This window comes from Homo sapiens, chromosome 12 (genome assembly GCF_000001405.40).
Source record: "Homo sapiens chromosome 12, GRCh38.p14 Primary Assembly".
NCBI lineage: Eukaryota > Metazoa > Chordata > Mammalia > Primates > Hominidae > Homo > Homo sapiens.
In genome coordinates, this window is record NC_000012.12 from 47,845,498 (window position 1) to 47,863,609 (window position 18,112).

The window sequence follows — 18,112 nt, forward strand, 5'->3', positions numbered from 1 at the left end:
CTTTATTTTTAAAACTCTTGCCTTGTTAGGAATTAATAATTAAATAACATTTGTTTAATGTTTCCTCCTAAGCTTCATGGGAGAGGAGCCTGTGTCCCATTTGCTGCTGAACCCCAGTACCTAGCATAGTGCCTGGTACCTAATAGGTGCTCAATAAATTGTTGCTAAGTGGATGAATGAATGAGAGAAGGCTGGCTGGGCAGGGGTAGAGGAGCCCATCTCCATTCCTTGAGCCTCCAGTCCAGGAAAGCATCCCTGGGCACAGGCCACTAGCACAGGCTGAGGCAGGGCCGCCCCTCTTTGGACCTCATCACCGACATCATGTCCCCAAGGTCACAATAACTTCCTCTTCGGCCTTTTCTCCCTCTTCTCACCTCTAACCAGCGGAAGAGGTCAAGGGTCACTGCACATTGCCTCCAAAATCAATCAGGTAAACTATATAGGCAGAACCATCTCTCAGGCTCCAAAGTTTTGTACCCTGCCCGCAAGAAACCTCAAATAACAGGAATGTTGAGCCCAGTTCACGCAAGAGCAGAGCCTGAGTATTGGGAATGCGCAGGCCTGTCTGTGGCCCCAGGAACCCTGCTTATCTAGTTCCTCAGAATCCCCCCTACGAATCGCCTGCACACTCTGCAAGGCAGAGCTAAGGGCAGTGAGGGGCACCTCAGCGTCCACACACCACAGGGGCTCTGCAAACCAGCAAAGTAGGTATTTCCTTATCTGTGTCTCCTTTTGCTACGTCTCCCTTCAGGTTGCCCAGCTGGCCCTCAGCAGGTCTTTGTCCTTCATACTCCCCGCTCCCCAGGTCCCTGAGCTCCTCCCTGCCTGGCCCCATACCTGGGGAGACGATGCAGATGGCCATGAGCAGGACATGCTCCTCCTCATGCAAGTTCAGCTTCTTCAGTCCCACCTGGAACTTGATGAGGGGCTCAATCAGCTCCAGGCTGTGTCCGGCTGTGAGAGACAATGGCCAGGTACTGCGGGCAGAGCTGAGGAGCCGCCCACCCACCTCCAACCCCATGGGTCTGACCCTCGCCCTTCTCTCCCTGTTGGTGCCTAACTCCCTCCCATGTATCTGATTGGAGCCAAACCCCAGGACGGGTGGAGCCAGAATCTGGGAGCTGAAAAAGACTCCCCAGGAGGTGGAGTCTAGGCATACCTTTGGTCACGTCACTGACGCGGTACTTGTAGTCTTGGTTGCCACAGGTCCAGGACATGTCGTCCATGGTGAAGGACTCATTGGAGCGCAACATGATGACCTCAATGGCACTTGACTTCAGCAGTACGATCTGGTCCTCAGAGGTGAGGTCTCTGCAGGGGAGGGAGGGAAGGAGGTCAGGTTACCAGTAAACGCCTTCAAGCCACACAAATCAGTTTAGTGCTTTGACAGGTATACACCTGCTGGGCACCAACATGCACCCTGGGTCTTTCATCGAGGAGCTTGCAGGCTGGCTGGAAGGGACAAGAGTGTTCCTTGAGAGAGAACAGTTCAACACTGTGATCATGTGCCAAGGCCAGAAGTGAAGTAGCTCAGTTACTAAGACAAGAAAAACTCAGAGACCAAGCAGCCAGAGCTATGGGGCACAGGAAACGGAGCCCAGGGAAGTTCCCAGCATTGAGGCATGAATATGGTGGTCTGCAAAAGGTAGGGCCATGGTATCTTCAACAACACCCAAGTTTTCTCCTCCTCTCCCTCCTACTGTCCTCCAGTCCTTCTCAGTAGTAAATTCAGCCAACTCTGTCTCTAGGATGTCTCTCAAGCCCGTGATCTTATTCCCACTCCTACCAGGAGTGCCCTGGTTCAGAGCTCCAGCGTCTTTTCCAATAGCCTCTTACAGGAATCCCAGACTTGTGTCTCTCCAGTCTCTCATTCATCTTTCTTACCACTGCTGCAGGTCAATGTCCTCTTGCACTCAGAAATCTTCACTGACTCTCAAACACCCTAGGATCAGGCCCACACTCCCTAACTTGGCTCCAACCTCTCATTCCAACTCCCTTTCCCATGGTAAACTCCACCAACCTTCCATTCTAGCAGCATCATGCCACTCCACATTCAGATGCTGTGTGTTCTCACTGTGCCTTTTTTTTTTCTTGTGACAGGATCTCACTCTGTTGCTGAGGCTGGAGTGCAGTGTTATGATCATAGCATGCTACAGCCTCAAACTCCTGGGCTCAAGTGAGTCTCCCACCTCAGCCTTCCGAATAGCTAAGACTACAAGCATGCGCCACCATGCTCAGCTAATTTCTTTTATTAGTATTTTTAGAGACAGTGTCCTGTTCTGTCACACAAGCTGGAGTGCAACAGAATGATTATGGCTTACTGCAGCCTCAAACTCCTGGGCTCAAGCAGTCCTCCTGCCTCAGCCTCCTAAGTAGCTGGGACTACAGGTGCACACCATCACGCCTAGCTAATTTTTTTTGAGACGGAGTCTCACTTTGTCGCCCAGGCTGGAGTGCAGTGGCGCGATCTCGGCTCACTGCAAGCTTCGCCTCCCAGGTTCACGCCATTCTCCTGCCTCAGCCTCCCGAGTAGCTGGGACTACAGGTGCCCGCCACCATGGCCAGCTAATTTTTTTTTGTATTTTTAGTAGAGACGAGGTTTCACAGTGTTAGCCAGGATGGTCTCGATCTCCTGACCTTGTGATCTGCCTGCCTAGGCTTCCCAAAGTGCTGGGATTACAGGTGTACGCCTAGCTAATTTTTAAATTTTTTTTGTAGGGATGGTGTCTCACTATGTGGCCCAGGCTGGTCTCAAATTCCTGGCCTCAAGTGATCCTCTCATCTTGGCCTCTCAAAGAACCAGGGTTACAGGTGTGAGCCACTGCACCCAGCCATCACCACGCCTTTCAGCATACTACAGCTCCAGCCAGGAATACCCTTCTAATTCTCCATTTTGTTTTTCTGGTCCTGAATCCACTGTGTTTTCCACTGGAGCCCCGCACCTTCTGACTCTTTAGCACAGTTAGGGCCATGTCATTGTGATGCCTTGAACATTGCTGGTGCTCTTATTTTGCCCGTCTCCTCCAGTTCTGCTCTTTACATGCTTGTTTTCTACTCCTTTTTTTTTTTTTTTTTTTTTTTTTTTTTGAGACAGAGTCTTGCTCTGTTGCCCAGGCTGGAGTGCAGTGGTGAGATCTTGGCTCACTGCAACCTCCACCTCCCAGGTTCAAGCAATTCTCCTACCTCAGCCTCCTGAGTAGCTGGGATTAGAGGCACCTGCCACCACACTCAGCTAATTTTTGTATTTTTAGTAGAGACGGGGTTTCGCCATGTTGGCCAGGCTGGTCTCGAACTCCTGACCTCAGATAATCTGCCTGCCTCAGCCTCCCAAGGAGCTGGGATTACGGCGTGAGCCACTGCACCCGGCCACTTGTTTTCTACTCTTGTTTGTAAGTTACTTGGGGGCCAGCACCTCCTCTTAATCACCTTACTGTTGCCCACACACTGACCATTGAGCCGTCAGCACAAGATGATCAATAGAGATGCGTTGATGATTTGAGAGGCCAATGACTAGTTCCACTATTCTGAGTCAGGAATGGGCTTGTCTGAACAATGGCGAGGAAAAGGCAGGGCTCACAAATCAGCTTGCTTCTGGCTTTTACTCCCTTTCTCTTCCTGACTGTCTACTTCCTCCTGGATATCCTGCAGATAGGCTGTCACCCCGTCAATGGCTGCATGTTTATATATAAAGATGGGAAGCTGATATTAACTGATGAGAGTGTTGTATCAATGGGTGATAGATGGTGGGAAATGAGAAGGCTTGCATGATCAGGATGGCCAGCAAAGGATCTGTATTGAAAAAAAATCACAACGTGCTAGAGTTGGAGGGCCCCTCTTAGGAACTCTTAGAGATGGCTCCTACATAACCTCTGCAGGACTCTCCTAGGGTCAGGGAGCTCAGGGCCTCTGGACACAGCCATGGGGTTGTTAGCGCCGAGATTAATGACCTCTTCTATTGAGCTACAATCCACGTGATAGTACACTCATTTGTGGTTTACAGTTTTGTGCTCAATAAACCCAGAACCAGACTTCTCCACTAGCCATGGGACTTCCTTTGAACCATAACTAATGGAGTTTTTTAAAAAGGAAAACTGCCGTGTCCTCCTTCAGATAGTCTAATGACACAATGTCTAACATCTCACCATCCTTGTCACTTTTCTCTAGATGCTCAATCCACATTTAAAACACAAAAATGAACACCATCCCCATTTTTGTTTTGACTCATTATACAAGTAAAACATACTCATTATCAAATCTTTGGAAAATACATAAAAATGTAAAAACAAATTAAATTTGCTCATAACCACACTTCACATTTTGGCGTATTTTCTTCCTATCTTTTTTTCTTATTTATTTATTTTAATTTTTTTTTTGAGACAGTCTTGCTCTGTCACCCAGGCTGGAGTGCAGTGGTGCAATCTCGGCTCACTGAAACCTCTGCCTCCCGGGTTCAGGCAATTCTCCTGTCTCAGCCTGCGGAGAAGCTGGGACTACAGGCATGTGCCACCACACCTGGCTAATTTTTCTATTTTTAGTAGATATGGGGTTTCACCATGTTGGCCAGGCTGCTCTTGAATCCTGACCTCAAGTGAGTCCTGCCCACCTTGGCCTCCCAAAGTTCTGGGATTATAGGTGTGAGCCACCGTGCCTGGCACCTTCCTGTCTTTTTTCTATGCAAATATATATATACCCACAAATATACATAGAGAGAGGGAGTATACATTTAACATACTGGAGCTTATACTAATTCTTTATCCTACTTCCTATATCACTCAAAATTATTTAGCCCAGTTCTTAGAGGGTTGCATGATGTTACATCATAACAGTATACTCTAAGTTATTGAGCCAGTCTTCCATTTATCTATTTTTGAACATTTTGATTGCTTCCAATTTTTGCTATCATAGGTAATTCTGGGAGGAATAACTTTATACATAGCCTTTTGTTCAGTGCCCCACTCAAACAGATGGCCAGCAGTGAACACATCTTCCATGGATGCAGGCCAGAGAGGTTTTAGTGGGATCACTGCTTTTGTGATCCAGACATCCTGCTGCTAGGAACACAAACCCAAAACGACCCCAAATGACTGCCCACAGCCTGGAAATACAGGGCCTTTCTAAATACAGCTCACAGCCAGGACCAGGGATGGTGGCGTGGTGGGAGTAGAGGTGGAGTTACAGGGGAAGCCATAAGAGAGCTTGTTCCACGATGATAGGCACCAGCACAGCTCCGTTCCCCCTCCCTCACCTGTGTGACATTTACACCCTCCTCTGTCTTCACGCCTGCAGCCGCTTCTGGGCACCCGAGATGTGACTGGAATTGTGTTGCTGTTTCGTCTTTCCCACCCCCACAGGCAGAGCCCGGCCCCTCCCCTCCCCTCCCGCATTCCCACGGTACCTCCAGCAGGCTTGTAGCAGGGCTCTTATCTCCTTGCAGCAATTGTTTACATGTCTATCTCTTTCATCAGACACCAAATCCCTGGATGCCAGGGACTGTCTTCTCAACAACTTTTGTCCCTCACAGTTTATGTAAGAAAGCTATTTGTTGGATGGATGAAGAAATGAATGTGGAGAAAGGGCACAGCACGAAGGAAGCATGATAACCCCCAGGGCTCTTCCCTAGGTATGGAAATGGCAATGAAGGTGAAGGCATTTAGCAGAAGAGGGCAGGGCTGCAGCTTATGTGGCCTGGTCTCTTGTGTACTTTACTTGTCAGTGAAGCCTGGGGGTCCCAAGTCCTCAGATCTAAGGCTGCTCTTGGCCATTTAGATGCTGCTGCTGATGCCACCTCCTCCATGCATTTCATTTGCAGTGCCAGCAGGGAGGGAGATTTGTGGGGTGAGACTGAGAGGCTAAGGGAGGAGAGATGGGAGGAGAGAGCAGGCCAAGGCCACACTGTAGCACAGTTCACACCAAGAACAGCCCATCCAGCCCTGCCCCACGTTGGTCTCATGCCCCCACTGGAGACTCATCCTGTGCCCCCACACACCCACACAGAAGTCTCATCCTGCCTTCCCCACACCCTCCGCCCCTGCCTGCAGGCAGCAAGATCAAAGCCACCAGGGATGCAGCCACTGTTCTTCTATGTCTTGGAACAATAGAACCCCTAAGTGTGGAAAGCAGCAGAACCAGAGAGCTACTGGGCTGGCCCACCCTGGGCCCAGTTGGAGCCTAGGTTTGGGCTCCAGTCCAGGCTCAGCATCACCTCTGTCCAGTCACAGAGAGCGTCCATACCAGTGTCCCTGCAAGCTCTCTTAGCAAGGCCTGCTCCATTTTCATTGGCATACCTTCTGCTCTGGGACTTCTCAAGTCATACTGAAGACAGAGAAGCCAACCCTAGCATGTTCAGGATCAGTTTAACCCATTTTGCATCAATGGCTGGGCAGCTCCTGTACCTGCCATATGTACCTCACTTTAGCCATGAGTTGCAAGGACAGACTAGGGGACAGAGGAGAACATGATGAAAGGAAGAGGGCAGACTTCAACTTAACCTCGGGAAGAGAAACTGAGAGTAGTGCTATTTGTGTCAGGGTACATGTGGGAGGGCAATGGATAGGGGCCTTGAGCATGGGAGAAATTGGAGGCTGGGGTTCCTTAGTGAAGGGGGCAGCATTGGAGTAATCCGATTTAATGAGTAACTTTCTTTTTAGGGCAGCTTTCCCGTGTATGCAATCTCAGCCACCATTGGAATCACTGAACCTGGAATCACTGTATCTGGAAAGGGCCGTGGGGGCCCTCTGTCCTACTCCCCACTAGAGCAGGGAAGGATGAAGCCTGTGTAGACAAGGACTGCTGCCTGACATGAGGATGGAAGCCGAGTGCTTCTGTGTTTTTTCCCTAGCTGTTTACACAAAACAAGACTTTGGAATATGTGGAGTTTGCAAACAGTAACGTGAAGCGTGGAGGAGGGAGTTGGAACTTGTGCTCTACGGAATGTGTTGTCAGTTCCAAAGAAAGCCTCTGAGGGTAAACCCTGGGCTCAGAGCAATGCCGGGCTCACACAAGATCTGTCGCTTGCTCCTGCTTGCCTGCCTGCCAGAGGGGCCCTCGCTCCTATCACTACAACCAAAATGTGCAATGCAGTAGGAGTGTCTCAGCACTGTCTGCCAGTTTTCTCTTCTTCACCATTTTCACATTAATTCCAGGGGAAGAGCATCGAAAAATTTCTGTTATTTGGGTTGGTGAGAGGCATAAAATAACACAGAGCCAGTTTTCTCAGGGCAGAAACAAACTGGAAAGTTCTGGGTTTAGCTCTGTGAATGACCATCATCTCACTGGCAAGGCATTAATTTCGGCAATAACTCATGGCTTTTCTACACAGCTAAGAGGGCCATACACCAATATATGGCACCTCATAATCTGTTTCCATCCAGAGCCGGCAATGTTAACTCATTTTCCAGCTCCCCATATTCCAGCACTGAATCTGAGCATTAGTATCTAGGAAGCATTTTGCCCCTTCTGCCGTAAATACAGCTATTGCTGCTACTTGAAAGACAATAACATTGCTTGAGATTGATTTACTTCTCTTTCTCAACCATATTGTTTATGTATTTTATGGCAATATACCAAATGAACTTTGGGGAAGAATGAAGATACAAATATACATAAATATAGCCATTTCCCAACACATCTATTAAATGTGTCAATACTCTATTGTTTTAAGAATATTGGCCGGCAGTGGCTCATGCCTGTAATCCCAGCACTTTGGGAGGCCGAGACAGGCGGATCACGAGGTCAGGAGATCAAGACCATCCTGGCTAACACGGTGAAACCCTGTCTCTACTAAAAATACAAAAAAATTAGCCGGGCGTAGTGGCGGGCGCCTGTCATCCCAGCTACTCGGGAGACTGAGGCAGGAGAGTGGCGTGAACCCGGGAGGCGGAGCTTGCAGTGAGCCGAGATCATGCCACTGCACTCCAGCCTAGGCGACAGAGCGAGACTCTGCCTCAATTAAAAAAAAAAAAAAAAAGAATATTGGCCGGGCGTGGTGGTTCATGCCTGTAATCCCAGCACTTTGGGAAGCTGAGGCTGGCAGATCACCTGAGGTCAGTAGTTCAAGACCAGCCTGGCCAAGATGGTGAAACCCCAACTCTACTACTAAAAATACAAAACTAGCCAGGCGTGGTGGTGCGTGCCTGTAATTTCTGCTACTCAGGAGGCTGAGGCAGGAGAATTGCTTGAACCCAGGAGGCAGAGGTTGCAGTAAGTTGAGATCGCGTCATTGTACTCCGGCCTGGGCAACAAGAGGGAAACTCTGTCTCAAAAAAAATACAAAAAATTAGCCAGGCATGGTGGCACGCTCCTGTAGTTCCAGCTACTTGGGAGGCTGAAGCAGGAGAATTGCTTGAACCTGGAAGGCGGAGGTTGCAGTGAGCTGAGATCGCGCCATTGCACTCCAGCCTAGGTGAAAAGAGCGAAACCGTCTCAAAAAAGAAAAAAAAAATTAACACTGCATGAGTATTTAAATATAAGTATTATATACAGTACTAGTGTTAAAACAATGAAACATAGGAATAAATGAATGAAATTTATATGAATGAATTGATAAAGGAGGATCCCTTCTCCAGTAGAACTCCTTATACTTATATATTTTGGCAAAAATGTATCAGTATGGTTAGGAAATGGTCTTTATTTTTTTCTTTTTTGAGACAGGGTCTTGCTCTGTTGCCCAGGCTGGAGTGCAGTGGTGAAATCATGGATCACTGTAGCCTTGACCTCCTGGGCTCAAGTGATTCTCCTGCCTCAGCCTCCCTAGTAGGTGGGACTACAGGCATGTGCAACCACACCTGGCTAATTTATAATTTTTTTTTTTTGTAGAGAAGAGGTCTCACTATGTTGATCAGGCTGGTCTGGAACTCCTGGGCTGAAGCAATCCTCCTACCTCAGTCTCTCAAAGTGTTGGGATAGGCATGTGCCACTGTGCCCAGCCAGGAAATGGTCTTTAAATGTACATTTTGGTGAAGGATGCCAGGGTCATATATGCCAGTAAACCTATCTCTCTCCAGGATTCCTAGACTGTTTCACAAGTCTACATGGCCAAGCCCTTCTCTCTATCACTTCATTCTGCTCTCAGAGTTGGGGTGTGGAGGAATCATATCGTTGAATTTAAAGAGATAATATGAGGATTCCAGTCAAGCCAGCTGGAGTGAACACAGCAGTGAGCTGGGAGTTCTAGGCCTGGCTCTGACATGCTGGCTCCAACACCTGGAAGGGATCCTGGCTGGCCATTGGACCTCTCTGGGCTTCCACACCATCATCCAGAAAGTGCGGGGATGGACTAGCTCTCCAGTGCTGGCCTGCAGAGTAACGCAAGACAGGCTGCACTTTCTAAATACAGATTTCTGGGCCTACGCCAGAGATTCTGATTTCGCAGGTCTAGGGTAGGGTCTGAATCTCTATTTTAAAGAAGCAATGGAGGCTGGCTGCTGTGGCTCATGCCCGTAATCCCAGCACTTTGGGAGGCTGAGGTGGGTGGATCACTTGAGGTCAGGAGTTTGAGACAAGCCTGGCCAACATGGCGAAACTCCGTCTCTACTAAAAATAAAAAAATTAGGGCAGGGCGCGATGGCTCATGCCTGTAATCCCAGCACTTTGGGAGACCAAGGTGGTTGGATCACGAGGTCAGGTGATCGAGAGCAGCCTGGCCAACGTGGTGAAACCCCGTCTCTACTAAAATTATAAAAATTAGCCGGGCTTGGTGGCCCACACCTGTAATCCCAGCTACTTAGGAGGCTGAGGCAGGAGAATCACTTGAACCCGGGAGGCGGAGGTTATAGTGAGCCAAGATAGTGCCACTGCACTCCAGCCTGGGCATCAGAGCGAGAATCTGTCTGGAAAAAAAATAAAAATAAATAAATAAATAAATAAATAAATAAATTAGCCGGGCGTGGTGTCTGGTGCCTGTAATCCCAGCTACTTGGGAGGTTGAGGCAGGAGAATCGCTTGAACCTAGGAGGCGGAGGTTGCAGTGAGCCGAGATCGCGCCACTGCACTCCAGCCTGCGTGACAGAGCAAGATGCCGTTTAAAAAAATAAAAAATAAAAAAAAGAAGTGGTGGATGAGTGATCTCCAACCCTTCTTGTAGCTCAGTCTAGGACTCTGACTCTGTTCCCCAGAGATTGCAGAAGTTTCTTACCTGAATCCTGGTATCATCTTAGCAAAGCCAATGACCTTTTGGATGCTGTAACTGACCAGGTCAGCCAGGTGGGGCAGCATGGAGAGCTGGGACAGCTCTAGGGTCACAGAAGGGTCATCTGAATCTTCTTCACTCAGATCCAGATTGGAGAAGCTGGACGAGTCCATCATGTCTGGGAGAGATGAGGGAAGAGAAGGAGCTATTTAAGGATACTTGGACCAGGCCCCCTCCTGCCAGACCCTGCAAAAACCTGGTGTGCCCTGGCAGCAGAGCCAGCTGGGAATCCCACAGTGACTCCACAGGTCACCCTTCAGCCCCAGGCTTCCCTCTGGGACTCTCTCTGCCTCTTTCAGCAGCATAAGGCAGTAAAATCAAAGAGCCAGAGACACTCAGAGCAATGAGACTTCCTCAAGCAGACTGTGTGCTGTTCCTATGGATCTCAATCAAGAAAGAATTTGGGACCCATCAAGTCATGGAAAAAAATGTTCAACCTTGCTAATGGTCAAAGAACTGCAGTGTAGAACATCTATAATTTTCACCTACAAACCAGAAACAAAAATGTTTAAATATTGATGCCAGTATTTATAAAGATGCAGGAAATTAGGCAATGCCTATGAGGGCTGGGGTGCTAAAGGAGGTGCACATTACTGAAGGTACTCTAGAAAGCTATTTGACATTAGTCAAATAATTGTGTGTACTCTTTGACCAGTAGTCACACTTCCTGGAATTCATTGTAAGGGAAAATTTCCGATAAGTGTAAATATTTGGCTACAAGTATACTGTTTTCTTATTAAAATGCTGAGAAATAATCCAGATATCCAATGGTAGGGGATTAGGTACATTATTGTATTCCAGAATACTATGCAGCCCTTAAAAATTATATTCTGGATGCGTACTAACTGGTATGGAAAAACAATGCCATATAAAAAAAAGCAAGTCATCAGATTGTATACAGCACAATTTCTTTTCTAAATATACATATGTGTTTTTTTTAAAAAAAAAAAAAAAAAGAAAGGAAGGAAAGCATGATGCCTCCCAGACTCTCAGCTGAGCTGGAGGGGACAGGTCCTCCAGGGCCAGAGTGGTCCCCAGAGCTCAAGTGGAAGGTGGACCTCAATAGGACCAACACGTTCACCTTCCCACTCCAAATTTCACCTTCTGAAGGGCCCAGGATTAAAATATCACGTAAAGGAAGCAGGTCACCTCCACGGAGGGGGCCATGGGCTGAAGCCTGGCTTAGAGGAAACAGCATGGGCCCGGGAGGCTGATGCTACACAGCTGGAATCCCAGCTTGGCCTCTTCCCCAGTGTGGGCCCTTGGGTAAGTCACCCCTTTCTGTAACAGAGGGGCTGTTGTGAAGACGCTGCATAGCGCACAGTATTTATGTAAGTTTCCATTAGGGAGCCTTCCACCTCCTTCCATCCAGCAGCCCCAGGGCAGGTGCGGTGGACTCCTCGCCCCCGCTCCCTTACTCTATGGAGGACTGAAGTCCTGCTTACCTGAAGAGGTGATACAGTGATCTGAGCAGGAGGAGGAGGAGTCCCCAGAGAAGCTGGGAGTGTGTCTGGAGTTGGGCCTGGAAGGATGGCTCCCTCCACCATCATTCACACGAACTGGAGGCTGGAAGGGAAAGATGGGGTCTCAGACCCACATTTTGGGGTTGCCTTCCTACCTTGGCCCTGATCTCTGATAGGAATGGCTTTGAGGAAGGTCTACAGGAAGGCGAAGCCTCCCAGTGCCAGGGGCAGAGCAGCCTCCGTCCCTACCCCAGTTCTGTTCAGGATGTCCCCTGCCCTCTGTCCCTACTCCCTGGGCCCTGGCTCCACTAGTGCTTCTCCTCTGGACCGGCTCATCCTCCCAGCAGGCAGACATACCCGGAACTGGCAGAAGTCGGAGTAGGTGGGGTCGTAGGTCTTATGGTGGGCGTCCAGCAGTATGGCAATGATGCGCTGCTGCTCCTCAGACAGCTTGGGCCGCAGACTGTCCTTCAAGGCCTCCTCCTCCTTCCGCTTCAGGATCATCTCCCGCTTCCTCTGCACTTCCTCATCTGTCAGAATGACTGTGGGGTGGGAAGGGGAGTCAGGAGGGCTGGCCAGCAGCTCCTCCAGGAAACCTTCCTCCTGCGGTTGGGGGTAAAGGTCCAAGATAGGAGGGGCTTTAACACTCGGGGCTCCCTCGGGGGTCCTCCTGCCACGGAGACTCCCACTCCACTGTGTGAAGAAAAATTGGGTTTGCTATGGTGAAAAGGAAGGCACATGCAAGAAGAAGAAAAAGAGGATTTGAGAGGGGGGATGATCTGGGCTTTAGGGAGTCGGGGTTCTCAAGAACAAGTTGTGGGACCTTGGGCAAACTCTCTGGGCTTTTGTTCTTTTGTTTGTAAAATGAGAGATTTGGACCATGTAAGTTCTTCCAAGGTTCCTTTCTTGTACCTTCCTCCATAAAGTGTGTGTGTGTGTGTCTGTGTGTGTTGACATGCAGGTGGGGGAAGTAATAATACCTGCCTCAAAGGATCAACTGATTTGAGAACTGGATGCATGCCTGGCCCAGAGCAGATGCTCACTAAATGTTAGTTCTCTTCTCTTCCCTACCCTGATGTTCCATGATCCTGAAGAAGATATCAGGGTGAAGAGAGGATGCCAGAGCTCTCATAGCGCTGGAAGTGAGATGTGGAGAGGACTCCTCTATGTGGCTGTCTCCACATCCAGGTTTCCAGACATGGGACTGTGGAATATAGAAAGACTAGACCTCTTTGGTTCTCTGCAAAACCACCCCTCCTCCAGCATGTACAGCCTTGACATTTCTGTCCATGGAAGTTTTCAAGTCCTCTTGAAGGCCCCAAAGGGTGAGGCCTTGCAGCTCTAATCTTAGAAGTTCTCTCCAGCCACTAATCAGGGTGTGGGGCCATAGAGAGCCCCACCACCACCTGCAGGCTTCTGCCTGCCTCCCTGTGCTGGGGCAGCTGTGGGGGTGGAGGGGATGCTGGGAGCAAAGGTGCCTGGCACGGCGGCTGGGCAAACAGACCTCCTGGCTGTGGCTTGCTGAGTGCTGACGGCAGGAGTGGGCACCAGGGCCTTTGGCCTGTAGCTACTTGCTTGGTGCTGCTGCTGCCAGGGCATCTGCCCACAGAACTGGGGAGTTTCACAAGAGCAGAGAAAGGAACCAGAAGCCCAGGGTGGGTGAGTTCCAGGCTTTGAGAAAGGTCCATTGGCCCAGGCCCTCAGGTAGGGGGAGGACGAGAGAAGTTGCTGTGGGGTGAGGAAGAGCCTATGCTGGGAGGGAGTGGACAGCCAATGCCACAGGCATGGCAGGAAAGCGAGCGCTACTGCAAGAGATGGTGCTTCCCTCCACAGGGAGCCTGGGAGTAGACCACACCCAGGTGACTGACTCACCTGCCCAAACAGCTGCCAACTCTCCTCCCACAGTGGGTGTCTGCACAGACCCTACCAGGTCAGGCAGGGTGGGAGAGGAAGGGGCAGGGAGCATCCAGGGAAGGCAATGGGGGTAAGCCCTCGCTTGGGGAGCCCAAGATTAGGTGTCTTGTCTTTCCTGCTCACCTGGGGACCAGAGTTAGGGAGACCTGTTTCTGCCAGCCACACCATGGTGTCTACAGGCACGTAGCTCAGCCTGACTGGACTTTGCTAACTTTCCAGTGATTCTGTGATGCCATTCTCCTGCCCAGATACTTTTCTCGGCCCCTACTGATGACCACGTCCAAACTAAAGTTGGCCTCTTCCTAACTTTCAGACTTCATGTCTTAGTGCTTCTGGACACAGCCTCTGTTCTGGGCATGCTGGCATTGCTGCTGGCCTGGGAACATGACCTGCTCATGCTCGCCCCTGCATTTCCAGTTGTGCTAGGTGCCCGTCCAGCTGGGTTTTCTCTCCCCCAAACCTGTATGAGTTCTACCAGTTCTTCAGTGCCTACATCATAGCCATCTTTTTCCATGAAGCATTTCTTGATTGCCCTGATCTGCATCAAGCCTTGTTTTTTTCTGCTGAGCCTCATTTCCTATGCCTGCTACATATTTAGTCTTTCCCACACACATTGACACCCAATTATCTTCTGCTCTGTAAGACTCATGGTTAGCACAGTTTTCAATTCATTACCTATAGACGGAGCCCAAGAAGTTCAAGGTCTCTTTCTCTAGATTACAAGTTACTTAAGGGCAGGGTCCATGTCTTACAATTCTTTCTTTTCTCTCCCTTCCTTTCCCTTCCTTCCTTCCTTCCTTCCTTCTTTCCTTCCTTCCTTCCTTCCTTCCTTCCTTCCTTCCTTCCTTCCTTCCTTCTTTCTTTTTCTTTCTTTCTTTCTTTCTTTCTTTCTTTCTTTCTTTCTTTCTTTCTTTCTTTCTTTCACAGACTCTCGCTCTATTATCCAGGCTGGAGTGCAGTGGCACCACCTCGGCTCACTGCAACCTCCACCTCCCGGGTTCTAAGCGATTCTCCTGCCTCAGGCTACAGAGTACCTGGGCTTATAGGCACATGCCACCATGCCTGGCCAATTTTTTTGTATTTTTAGTAGAGATGGGGTTTCACCATGTTGGCCAGGCTGGTCTCAAACTCCTGACCTCAGGTGATCTGCCCGCCTTGGCCTCCCAAAGTGCTGGGATTACAGGCGTGAGCTACCATGCCCGGCCTTTGTCTTACAATTCTTATATTTCCCCCATAAAGGCTAGACCGGAGGGGCTACCTGGCCGTGGTGTCTGCTCAATAGTCTGACACCAAATATCAAATGCATCCACACAGATTACACCAACTGTGTGCAAATCATTTTCCTGGTTCAGGAAAGGCTAGTGAGTACTCTAGTGCTGCTTGTCTCCTGCAATGTAGTGAATGGCACCTGGCACACCAGAGAGCTGAGAAAGCTGACCTCTTTTATTGAAACAATTGTTATGGAAAGATTTTCAAGACAGAAAACCTTGTAACGGAACACTTTTAACGTCATATAACCTTTCCCTGATGATTCAGAGGTATCATTCTGAATAATTACTGAACATTGCAGGACAAGGTTACAGCCTCAGAGTTGTCAGAGGCTGTCTGCCCCGCATTGCATGGCTTGGCGTGCTGGGCTTTGGAGTTCTTGGGCTGCTTTTCTTGCTTCCAGTGTCCACCTCCCTGTTAAACTATGCGTTGTCTTCTTATTGGTGTCTGCCTCTGGATGTGTGCCTTTCTCCCCCTTAAGACTTACTTCTGATCTCTTGGGAGCTAGAAGTTCTGGTGATCAAGTTTGATGTAATAAAAAGAAAATATTCGTAATGCTGGATGGCACATAAAGAGTTTTTCTATCTATAAGGCACTATTCTGAGAGCCTTTTGTATATTAACTCATATATTTAGCCCTCATGACAACCCTTTAAGGCAGGTGCTGTTGTTATTCCCATTTAGCAGATGAGGGAGCTGAGGCCCAGAGAGGCTTTCTACCTTTCTCAAAGTCACACAGCTAACAGTGGTGAAACCAGCATTTAGACCTGGGCAGTCTGGTTCTGGAGTGGAAGGTCATAACCACTAGCCTCTACTGTGTCTGATTACATCTGGTTATAAGCGGACTTTGGCTTTCAGCCATGGAGTTTTGACAGGCATTGTGTTCCAATCCATCTGAAGAGTGTGAAAATAAAATTAAGTCACAAAGCTTGTAAATTACCCACTTTAAAGAGACAAAGAAAGTTCAAGTTTAACCCTATAACATGATTCCTCCCAGTCACTTGCATCAAATAGCAACCTCCATCTTCTATGGAGGTAACAGAGGAAGAAATGCTGAGATCTACCAGTTTCACACAGGCCCAATCCATGAGCCTTCTGCAAGGCAACATTGCTTGAGGACTGAATAAGTCTAAAGTCTTTCACATATGCAAATGCACTGTGATTTACGAAATAATTTGTTTAAAGATCTTGTTAATTTCATGGGAAATTTCTTATCATTTTTTCAATGGATTGAACCTAAGATGTCATTACTATCATATAGGAAGACACTATATGATATATGAAGCCATTGACCTAGAATAAGAGTAAACAGGTTCTGAAAGAGTGTTGGGCTGTCTGGTGATCAGGCGTCTAAAGTGCATGAGTTTTGGCATGTGGACTTTGTAAAACCTACATGGCTGCTCAGAAGCTTTTTTTGACTTCATTTTAAGCTCCTTGCTGAGTGTGAAATAATTTTGCGCAAGTTATTCCCATGCAAGACATGTTCTCTCCTTAACGAAGCCAAGATCTGCAACATAAACAATTTGAAAACATTTCAAGATGCCAAGGATGGGCTAAGAACAACCACAGGAAGAGGACATAAAATGTTTCCAAATGAACGGCACAGACATGATCAGGTTTGGGAGAATCTTACTGATCTATAGACCTGTGGAAGATATACAGAGAGAAAGAAGCATAATGAGGAGCTAATATTCATTGATTCCACACATTTATTGAGCACCTACTATGTGCCAGGTACTTTACTAACACCAGGGAGAAAAGACATACATCTGTAAAAACATCAAACAAGTTACCACAATGTGTGGTTCTGTGCAGGACAGGTAATAGTATAAGCAAAAAGCAAGAACTCAGTTATAAAATTTCTTGGGTTCCCAGGGTATAAAGTCAACTAAGAATGGAAAAGAGAGAAAATGAGTCTTTGGTGGGACCAAGCTCTCTTCAATCCATCTCTTAGAGCATGTGAAAGTGCCTGGAAATGCACAATGGAGTGAGCTCCGACCCACTGGGGCCACGAGAGGCTGCCTCGGGTGTGGCCCACAAGCCTGCCCTTTGGAAGCAGAAAGACCTAGATTAGAATGAATGCTGATACCATCATCTTATTAGCTGAGAGCCATGATATTTTAATTCCTCTGAGCTTCCTCAGCTATTGAAAAAATAAAAGTATTTACGTATTTAGGGAGTGTTGTGAGAATTTCAGAAGAAAATGCATGTGCTTGATGTGCTATCTGACACACAGTAGTTGGTCAATACACAGGGTTTCTGTCCTCATCCTTTCCCTTCCTGTGCCTCTTCTATGGAAGGCCCACCTCCTTGCTCGGACAGCAGGAGCCTGGGCTTTTAGCTTTCTTCCTGTGGTTTTACAAATATTGAGACACTCAATTGTCTCTGGGATGCTATGCCTTGGGGACAAAACCCAGCCCAGATAAGAAATGTGCAGCTCTCCCAGGGTTCTGAGGCCGGGGGACTTCACACTGGTGAGGCCTCCTGAAGCTGGACTAACCTGAGGCTGGGAATGTCTCTTCCTGGACAGTCTTCCCTTCAGGAAAGTAAAAAGCATCAGGACGTTTCTATTTTAACTGGATCCCCGCTCCACCAGCCCATCTAGAACTGAGTACTGCTCCCTGCACTGGGATGAGGAGGGTGGTGTGGCGAGAAGCTACCTTGGGCATACAGCAGGATGGGGACACAGGACTCCACAGGAGAGAATTAGGCTGGGGTGGGCGTGGCTGAGGGATGGGGTGGACATCGCTTCTGGGCTGCTGGGTTCCCACCACGTGGTAGGGTGCTCCTGGGCAGGGCCCCCTGATTTACCCCAGGCTGGTGCTGCTCTTCACCATGGATGCAGCGCTGTTTATGGGGACCAGGAGGCAGGTAGGAGGGGACATGAAGTCTGATTCTAGTCCCAGCTTGGCCACCAACTTGCTTTCTGACCCCAGACCTGAGGTCTTTACCTCTCTGAGTCTCAGATGTTCTTTCTATTTTAAGTCAGTAAGACATCCTCTTCCTCCTGAGGTAGGAGAGGGGCCTCTTGGGCATCAGTGAGCTTAGTCCTGAGGGGAACTCCTGTGGCAGTGCCTTACGAACCACTGCAGTGGAACCTCGTGCCAGTCTTGGTTAGCTGGAGCTTTAGAAACCGGACTCCCTGCTTTGCAGAGGCTGTCTTCTCTGCGGAGATGGGACTGTGCTGAGCACACCTTGTTGGTGCCCACCCTAACGCCTCACCCTGAGCAGGGCCCACTGAGAATGTGTGTGAAGCCTCTTAAGGCACCCGGGCCTCCAGC

The 18,112-nt window shown here is 48.7% G+C and overlaps 1 protein-coding gene across 8 annotated transcripts in view, besides 1 other annotated feature; it reads right to left on the minus strand.

The window, feature by feature from the left end:
* Positions 1 to 18,112, minus strand: part of VDR (vitamin D receptor) — a 63,458-nt gene that overhangs the window by 3,961 nt on the left and 41,385 nt on the right. For all 8 annotated transcript variants that reach the window (NM_001374662.1, NM_000376.3, NM_001364085.2 and 5 more), the window contains 5 exons: positions 12,007 to 12,191; positions 11,632 to 11,752; positions 10,133 to 10,304; positions 1,160 to 1,311; positions 838 to 954 (listed from right to left, as the gene is read on the minus strand). In NM_001374662.1, the coding sequence (NP_001361591.1) occupies positions 838 to 954; positions 1,160 to 1,311; positions 10,133 to 10,304; positions 11,632 to 11,752; positions 12,007 to 12,191 (747 nt within the window). The remainder of the gene's footprint in view (positions 1 to 837; positions 955 to 1,159; positions 1,312 to 10,132; positions 10,305 to 11,631; positions 11,753 to 12,006; positions 12,192 to 18,112) is intronic.
* Positions 383 to 884: an enhancer, noted in NCBI's record as "H3K4me1 hESC enhancer chr12:48239663-48240164 (GRCh37/hg19 assembly coordinates)". NCBI's record gives its function as "activates a minimal SCP1, AML or CMV promoter by ChIP-STARR-seq in primed H9 embryonic stem cells {active_cell/tissue: H9 hESC(primed)}" and the evidence as "EXISTENCE:reporter gene assay evidence [ECO:0000049][PMID:30033119]".